General features: G+C 42.3%; 1 pseudogene; it reads right to left on the reverse strand.

The window, feature by feature from the left end:
* On the reverse strand, positions 3,152-4,303 carry LOC101059972 (myosin light chain 9 pseudogene; annotated as a pseudogene).

The raw sequence follows: 9,810 nt of genomic DNA on the forward strand, positions 1-9,810 counted from the left end.
GGCAGGAGAATCATTTGAGCCCAGGAGGCAAATGTTGCAGTGAGCCAAGTTCGTGCCTCTGCACTCCAGCCTGGTCAACAGAGTGAGACTCCATCGCAAAAAAAAAAAAGAATATGAACACCATAAAACAAGCTCAAAGATGAGACAGAGGGGGAATTCAGAACTAGGAATTAACTGAGGTCCAAGTCAACATTATTATAGAATAAATAAATTAGAGGCCTGGCACAGTGATTAATGCCTGTAATCCTAGCACCTTGGGAAGCCAAGGCAGATGGATCGTTTAAGCCCAGGAGTTTGAGACCAGCCTGGGCAACATGGTGAAACCCTGTCTTCACAAAAAACACAAAAATTAGCCAGCTGTGGTGGCACACAACTGTATTCCCAGCTGCTCAGGGGGCTGAGGTGGGAGGATCACCTGAGCTTGGGAGGTTGAGGCTGCAATGAGCTGTGATTGTGCCACTGCACTCCAGCCTGGGTGACAGATTGAGACCCTGTCTCAAATAAATGAATAAATAAGAAAGAACAACAATCAGAATAAACAGCATTAATAAAGGAATGAATGACAAAGGGGAAAGGCTGGAAATAATCCTAGCAAATGTAGATGAATAAGACAAAGACAGTAAAATAACTGGGCAATCTAAAACATATGGAAGATAGATAACAATAATCCAACATATGTACAAAGAACCCAAGAAGTAGAAAGTAGTTATGTTAAACTATGTCATATAAGATGACACAACTAAAACTGAAGAAAAAACTAAATCCACAGAGTATAGAAAATACAACATAATATAACGTACCAGGAGAACTTGATAAACTCTCTTCTCCAAGACATCTTCTGTGAATTTAAAGGATAAGGAAAGAAGTCTCTAGGCATTTAGACATAAAATGAAACTACCCAAAAGAGGGACACAACAGTGCTTAAAACCCCAGGTCATAGGAGCTGTAGCTAGAAAATTCTAACCAAAAAACAAAACCTGTGACCCAAGAATTAATAGCCAGGCAAGATGTTGTTCATGAGCAAAGTCAATAAGAAGACGTTCACAGGCATGAAAAATCTCAGGTAATACAAAACCGTGAGTTCTTCTTAGGAAAAAAACAAACTGCTTAACAATGAAATCCAGATGATTTCAAGATGAATCACCACAAATGATCCAGAAATGCAGAAGCCACAGTTAAAAAACAAACAAACCAAAACCGGCTGTGAGCACAAACTCCATAAAATCCAGCTCAAGAATGACTACCTATTGGGTTATTGTTACATAGGAGCATGTGACTGATACAAACCTGGACAGTATGAGAATAGCAATATAACTAATGATACCACAGAGGGCATAAAACATGGGGGCTGGACTGGGCACGGTGGCTCACTCCTGCAATCCCAGGATCAGCTGAGGTCAGGAGTTCGAGACCATCTTGGCCAATATGGTAAAACCCCATCTCTACTAAAAATACAAAAATTAGCCAGCATGGTCTACTCAGGAGGCTGAGGCAGGAGAATCACTTGAACCTGGGAGGCGGAGGTTGCAGTGAGCCGAGATTGCGCCATTGGACTCCAGCCTGGGAGACAAGAACGAAACTCCATCTCAAAAAACAAACAAACAAAAAAATGTGGGGGCTGGGAGAGAGTAAGAGCTATGCCCTCATCTTCCAAAGCAGGAGAACACTGGCCGCTACCTGAAATGGAACTATAGAGTTTTTAAAAATAGACACTAGCTTTATTTTTCATAATCTCTAGTGTTTTTTTCTCTTCTTTCTCCCTCCCTCCTTCTCTGTCTCCAACTCTTTAAACCCAGAAGATTTTTAATAATGTATTTTATTGTGCAGAAGCATTTACTTGAAAATTCAACAGTTCCTCTAGATGTATTTCACTTTCTTTTTACTCTATCAAATGCAAATAAAATTAAATTGTATACTTTAAAAGAACATCCTATACTTAATGCTATTCTAATAAAATCTTTCTCTTCTTTTAGGGGTGTGTGTGTGTGTGTCAGCATGTGTATGCTATATCTAGAACTAATATTTCCCTAAAGGTAGTAATTGATGGGATTTGGAGTGATTTTTTTCATCTTCAAACTTCTTTATATAAACTACATTATTTAAATTATTATGAAGACTTATTGTTTGTACACATATAAAGAATATGCTTAACAGGGTTAATACTAGATAATGGTATAATTAATGATTGTTATTTTATTTGGGATGCTTTTTTGTAATTTTAAACCCATCCCCATAATATTTTTTTCATTTAAAAAAATCAAATATAAATTACATGATGTAAAATTCACCCATTTTGAAGTATACACTTTAGTGGTTTTAGTTATAGTGAACATGCTGTGCAACCATCACCACTATCGACTCTAGAACATTTTCACCACCCCAAAAGAAACCCTGTACCTATAAGTAATTAGCGGCAATTTTCTCCCCTCCCTATCCCCTAGCAACCATAAATCTACTTTCTGGTTTCCCATAAGGTAGATTTCCCATTCTGGACATTTCACATAAGTGGAATCATATAATACGTGGTCTTTGGTGCCTGTCTCCATTCACTTAGCGTAATTTTTTTGTTTGTTTGTTTTTTGAGACAGAGTCTCACTCTGTCACCCAGGCTGGAGTGCAGTGGCACAATCTCCACTCACTGCAACCTCCGCCTCCTGGATTCAAGCGATTCTCCTGTCTCAGCCTCCCGAGTATCTGGGATTATAGGAGCCCACCACCATGCCCGGCTAATTTTTATATTTTTAGTAGAGATGGGGTTTCACCATATTGGCCAGGCTGGTCTCGAACTCCTGACCTCAGGTGAACTGACTGCCTCGGCCTCCCAAAGTGCTGGGATTAGAGGCGTGAGCCACCACACCCAGCCAACTTAGCATCATGTTTTCAAGGTTCATCCTGATGTAGCATGGAGCAGCATTTCATTCCTTTTTATGACTGAATAGTAGCCCACTGCATGAATGTATCACATTTTGTTTCTCCATTCATTGGTTGATGGACATTTGGGTTGTCTCCAGTTTTGTGCTGTTGTGAATAACACTGCTGTAAACATTTGTGCACAAGTTTTTGTGTGAACGTATGTTTTCAATTCTCTTGGGCCTATACCTAAGAGTGGAATTGCTGGTTTACACAGTAATTCTTTCTTTCTTTTTCTTTTCAGTGCTCAGCCCTCTATTGGAGATTCTGCCTCCCCTGGGTCGGATGTCCCTCCCTCTGCGTCCTCGTGAGTACACTCCCACAGTGGGTGGTGTGCTGTGTGTGGGTGTGCTCTGGTGCCGGACAGGGTGTAGGGGAGGGGTCTGGCGTCCTGTCCTTTGAGAGGGGACCTTGGTGAGCTTGTGTTTATGTGAGAATGCACGTGAAGTAGTGTCAGATCCCACAACTCAAGGCCCCTTCCTCCTAGGGGGCAGCCCAGGAATGGGCAGGCCTCGGCCAAGGCCTGAGCTCTCTTGAGGAGTCTTCCCTTGGTGCCTCCAGTTCCTGCCCTTGGCCCATCTCCCCAGAAGGTGATCTTTCCTTGGAGGGGTCTGAGGCTCCCTCCCCTGGTCCTGGGGTCATGGTGGGAACACCGGCCTCAGCTCCATAGTGTGCTCCTTGCCTGGCATTCACATTTCTTGGCCCGTTTCCTCCACTGGGAGCTGGGATCCTAACCTCTCAAAGGGGGGACCCCCTGAGAGGGTCTTGCAGGGTCGTGGGCATGGAGCTGGTACAGACTGTGTGTGCGGGGAGGGGTGACTGGGACAGGGCCTGGGCGTCAGGACGACTGGGATGGCCTAGTGGTCTCTGTCCTTGGTGCCGTGTTTGAGAATGCGGGTGAACTCCACATAGTTGAAGTTGCCTTTTTTGTCAACAGGCACCTCCGGGTACAACTCGCCCACTTGCTGGTCTGTGAGGTGGTCACCGTGGCGGGCTTCCTGGATAAAACCTGAAGTTGAGGCTTCCTCATCGAAGTGTTGCAGATCACATCCTTAGGGTCCATGCGGTTCAGCTGCTCCCCAAACACAGTGAGCAGCATGGTGAAGTTGATGGGCCCCGGGGCCTCACTCATCTCACCCTCCGGCTGTTCACCATGGGGTTCTTCCCCAGCGAGGCCAGGCCTTCTTTGTCAATGAAGCCATCACAGCTCTGGGCAAACCCGTGGAAGACCTCCTTAAACTCCCAGATTGGGGCTGGTCAAACATCACGAAGACATTGGATGTGGCCCACTGTGGCTTCTCGGTGGTCTGGCCATGGCCTGCCTGCTGGACAGCTTGGCTTCAGGTGAGTGGGGCTTTCCTGGTGCAGAGAAGGCGCTGGGCTAGGTGAGTGGGGCGGGGCCAGCCATCAGGTGTGGGCTCTCATATGGTAATTCTATGTGTAACTTATTAAAGACCCACCAAACTGTTTTCTACAGCCACTGCACCATTTTACATTCCCAGAAGGCTCCAATTTCATTATTTATTTTTGTAGAGACGGCAACTTGCTCTGTCAGGCAGTGGAGCACTATCACGGCTCATTGCAGCCTCCACTTCCTGGGCTCAAGGGATCCTCCCACCTCTGCCACCTGAGTAGCTGGGACTACAGTCACGTGCCACCACACGCAGCTAATTTTTTAATTTTTAATTTTTTGTGGAGATGGGGGTCTCACTATGTTGCCCCGACTGGCCTGGAACTCCTGACCTCAAGTGAACCTCCTACCTCGGGCTCCCCAAAGTGCTGGGACTACAGGTGTGAGCTACTGGGTTGCAATTTCTTCACATCCTCACTAACAGTTTCTTCTTTCTTTTTCTCCTTCCTTCTTTTCTCTTCTCTTTTCTTTTGATTATAACCTTCTTAGTGGGTGTAAAGTGACATCTCCTTGTGGTTTTCATTGCCATTTCCCTGTTGACTGATGATTTGGGGCATCTTTTCTTCCACCTATTGGCCACTTGAATATTTTCTTCAGAGAAATGTCTATATAAATCCTTTGCACATTTCAAAATTGGTTATTTATCTTTTTCCTGTTGAATTATAAATGTTCTTTAAATATTCTAGGTACTAGTCCCTTACCTGACACATGATTTGCAAATATTATCCCCCATTTTTGGGTTGTCTCTTTGCCTTCTTGATAGTATCTATTTAACTTGAATAAAGTCCAATATTTCCATTTTTCTTTGCTGCTCATTCTTTTGGTGTCATACCTAAGAAACTACCGCCTAATCCAAAGTCACACAGACTTACACCTATGTTTCCTTCTAAGAGTTTTATAGTTTTAGCTTTTACATTAAGATCTTTAATCCATTTTGAGTTAATTTAAAAACATTTTAGGGCTGGGTGCTGTAGCACATGCCTGTAATCCCAGCACTTTGGAAGGCCAAGGTGGAAAGATCACTTGAGCCCAAGAGTTCGAGACCAGCCTGTGCAACATAGTGAGACCCTGTCTTTACAAAATATAAATAATTATCTGGGCACAGTGGCACACACCTGTAATCTCATCTATGGGGAGGCTGAGGTGGGAGGATCACTTGAGCCCAGGAGGTCAAAGCTGCAGTGAGCCATGATTGCAGCCTGGGTGACAAAGTGAGACCCTGTCTCAAAAAAAAAAAAATTAGTTGTGGAAAAAATACACATAACAAAATGTGCCGTCTTAACAATTTTTGAGTGCATAGTTCAGTAGTGTTAAGTATATTCACATTATTGTACAATCAATCTCCAGAGCTTTTTCCTCTTGCAAAACTGAAATTTTATACCTATCAAGCAACTCCCTACTTTCCCCTCCTCCTAGCTCCTGGCAGCTGTCATTCTCCTCTGTTTCTATGAATTTGCCTACTCTAGATACTAAACGTAATCATACAGTTTTGCCTTTTTGTGACTGGCTTATTTCACTTAGCATAATGTCCTTAAGGTTCATCCCAATGACAGCATTTGTCAGAATTTCCTTCCTTTTAAAGGCTGTATAATATTTTATTGCACCATATATTACCACGAAATAATACCACATTTTGTTCATCCATTTATCCTCAATGGACACATAGGTTGCTTCTACCTTTTGGCTATTGCAAATAATGGAGCTATGGACATAGGTGTACAAATATCTCTTCGAGTTCCTGCTTTCTTTTTTTTTTCTTAAATTCCAGTGGCTTTAGGGGTACATGCGAGTTTGGTTACATGGATGAATTGCATGGGGTGAAGTCTAGGATTTTAGTGTACCCATCACCTGAGTAGTGTGCATTGTACCCAATAGGTAGTTTTTCATCCCTCCCCACTTCCCACACTCCCCCTTTCTGATTCTTTATTGTCAATTATACCATTCTCTATGCCTTTGCATACCCATAGCTTAGCTCCCACTTACCTGCTTTTAATCCCCTGAGGTATATACCAAGAAGTGGAAGTGCTGAATCACATAGTAATTCTATTTTTAATTTTTTGAGGAACTACCATGCTATTCTCCATAGTGGCTACACCATTTTACATTTCCACCAACATTGTACAAAAGTTCCAATTTCTTCACATCCTTATCAACACTTGTAATTTTCTGTCTGATTTTTTTTTAATAGTAGCCATCCTAATGGCTAGGAGATGACATCTCACTGTGGCTTTGCTTTGCATTTCCCTAATGATTAGTGATGCTGAGCACTTTTTATGGGCTTGTTGGCCATTCGTTGTTTTGTTTTGTTTTTATTTTTTCTCTCACTCTGATTGAGACATCATTGGCATTTGTATATCTTCTTTGGAACAATGCATGTTCAGTCCAAGGCTCACTGGGACATAGACAGGCAGGGAATCTTCAGTGCTCACACCTCTAATTTTCTCACCTAGAGATGTGCCTGGGCACAGACATTCTACAGCAGAAAGAGCTCCAGGAGAAGGATTCCACCCCGTGCTGTTTTGCAGGTTTATAGGGGAGTTGGAAAGTTGCAGGGAATGTTGAGTCAGTTAGGCAACAGTGGGAACCTCTTTGGGGAGAAGAAGCTGAGCTGAGGAGCCTCCAGAGCTGAGCTCTTAGTATCAGCCAGAGGCTGCTGGTTCTTCTGTTGAGCTAATTCAGACCTGCTCAGCTAGCTTCTTGATAAATTACTGTAGGGGTGCAGAGGGGGAGGAAAAGGAAGCCCCAGGCCCATTCCAGTTTGCCTCTTTTTATATTACAAAGATTGTAATTAAGAAAATAAGATTCTCTGCCCACCCACACCCACTAAGCCCCACACCCCAAGGCCAGACACTTGCAACTCTTTTACCTATTCATTTCAGGATTATACTTCCATATTCTTTTACAATTATTTCTTGACTCACCCCATCCCTACTTCTTTTTTGTTGTTGTTACTTTACCTATGGATTTTCTATTATACAGGAGGAAGCTTCAGCCTTCCTAAGCCTTCTCCTCCCACATTCTTCTAGTCGTTATATCGCAGTTAATGTTATTATTCAGTACTCATTCATTAATTCATCAGTATTTTTTGAGAGCATACTATGTGTCAGGCACTACTGTAGGTGCTGGAGATTCATTAGTAATCCAAATAAAGTCCCAGTGTTGATGGAGTTTATAACAATTAGTTAAATTATGTTCACTGTTGAGCCAATTAATATGCTATGACGACATTTTTTTTCTTGAGTTACTTTCTGTTTTTCCTGAAGTTAATGATTGCTTTTTGTTTGTTCGTTTGCTCAGGTTTGTATGTACCCAAATCATTCTTCCTTCATTCTTCAACAGAACTTCTCTTTCTTATTCCCCATCTGGTCAAAGGCACCAAGCAACCTATCAATTCTTCCCCTCCTCCTCCTTTTCTTTTTTCTCCACTTTAAAAAATTTGCATCCATGTAGGTTTTAGTTATTTCTTTGTTTTACTGTGGTTGGTTTTCATTCTTTGACCTAGACACTCATTGATTTATTTCAATTTAGATACTCAGTGATTTACTTCCCTTCAGTACTAGGAAATTTACTAGTTAAAAAAAAAACACCCAAAACAACTTCCTTTTCTCTATTTACAATAACATTCCTATTGATAAGGGCCAGGTGCGGTGGCTCATGCTTGTAATCCCAGCACTTTGGGAAGCTGAAGCGGGCAGATCACTTGAGGGCCAGGAGTTCGTGACCAGCCTGGCCAACATGGTGAAACCCCGTCTCTACCAAAAAATACAAAAAATTAGCAAGGCATGGTGGTGTGCACCTGTAGTCCCAGCTACTCTGGAGGTTGAGGCAGAAGAATGGCTTGAACCTGGGAGGCAGAGGTTGCAGTGAGCTGAGATCGCGCCACTGCACTGCAGCCTGGATGACAGAGCGAGACTCTCTCTCATAAAATAAAATAAATTAAAATAAAAATTAGACTTCCTGAATGGTCTTCTATTTCTCCTATATTTTATCTTTTGTTTTCTATACTTTTGTCTTTGTTTCTATACTTTCTGGGGGATTTCCTAGACTTACTCTCCCTAATGTTTTATTGAGTTTTTTATGTAGATAGTCATATTTTAAATTTCTAAAAGTTATTTTCTATCATCTGCTCTCTGTTGCTCCTTGTTTTGTATTATCCTGCTCTCATTCCATGGAGATCACTCTGACGATATTGATAATAGTTTTTATACTTCCTCTTCTTTCTTTTTTTTCTTTTTTGTTTTTTTGAGACAGAGTCTCACTCCCTCGCCCAGGCTGGAGTGCAGTGGCTTGATCTCTGCTCACTGCAAGCTCTGCCTCACAGGTTCAAACAATTTTCTTGCCTCAGCCTCCTGAGTAGCTGGGATTACAGGCCTGTGCAACCATGCCTGGCTAATTTTTGTATTTTTAGTAGAGACAGGGTTTCACCATGTTGGCCAGGCTGGTCTCCAACTCCTGACCTCAAGTGATTTGCTCACCTCGGCATCCTGAAGTGCTGGGATTACAGGCCTGAGCCACCGTGCCAGACTTGTTTCCTCTTCCTCTAATGAAAGATGTCTAATAACTTTTCCAATATCTTCTATGATAATGGACCATTCAGATTTTCCATTTTCTTTTGGGTCATTTCTGGTAATTTACATGCTACTGGAAGTTACCCATTTCCTCTAGATCTTCATATTTGCTGCCACATAATTTTGTGAAGTTAACATTTATATCTTTAATCTCTCCTGTATTCACGGTTATATCTTTCTTATTCTTTTTATTTTTACTTTCCCTCTTTTCAATTTTTTATTTTAATTTTTGTGGGTACATAGCAAGTGTATATATTTATGGAGTACACGAGATGTTTTGATGCAGGCATGCAGTGCATAATAATCACATCGTGTAAAATCGGGTATCTGGCCGGGCCCGGTGGCTCACGCCTGTAATGCCAGCACTTTGGGAGGCGGAGGTGGGCGGATCACGATGTCAAGAGATTGAGACCATCCTGGCCAACATGGTGAAACTGTGTCTCTACTAAAAATAGAAAAATTAGCTGGGCCTTGTGGCGCATGCCTATAGTCCCAGCTACTCGGGAGGCTGAGGCAGGAGAATTGCTTGAACCTGGGAGGTGGGGGTTGCAATGAGCTGAGATCATGGCATTGTACTCCAGCCTGGGTGACAGAGCGAGACTGTCTCAAAGAAACCCATAAATAAGTAAGTAAATAAATAAATAAATAAATAAATAAATGGGATATCCATCCCCTGAAGCATTTATCCTTTATGTTACAAGCAACCCAATTATACTTTTATTAATTTTTATTTTATTTATTTATTTTTGAGATGGAGTATCACTCTGTCGCTCAGGCCAGAGTACAGTGGCGTGATCTGGGCTCACTGCAACCTCTGCCTCCTGGGTTCTAGCAATTCTTCTGCCTCAGCTTCCCGAGTAGCTCAGATTACAGGTGCCAGCCACCACGCCTGGCTAATTTTTGTATTTTAGTAGAGATGGG

Source organism: Homo sapiens, chromosome 8 (assembly GCF_000001405.40).
Source record: "Homo sapiens chromosome 8, GRCh38.p14 Primary Assembly".
Taxonomy (NCBI): domain Eukaryota; kingdom Metazoa; phylum Chordata; class Mammalia; order Primates; family Hominidae; genus Homo; species Homo sapiens.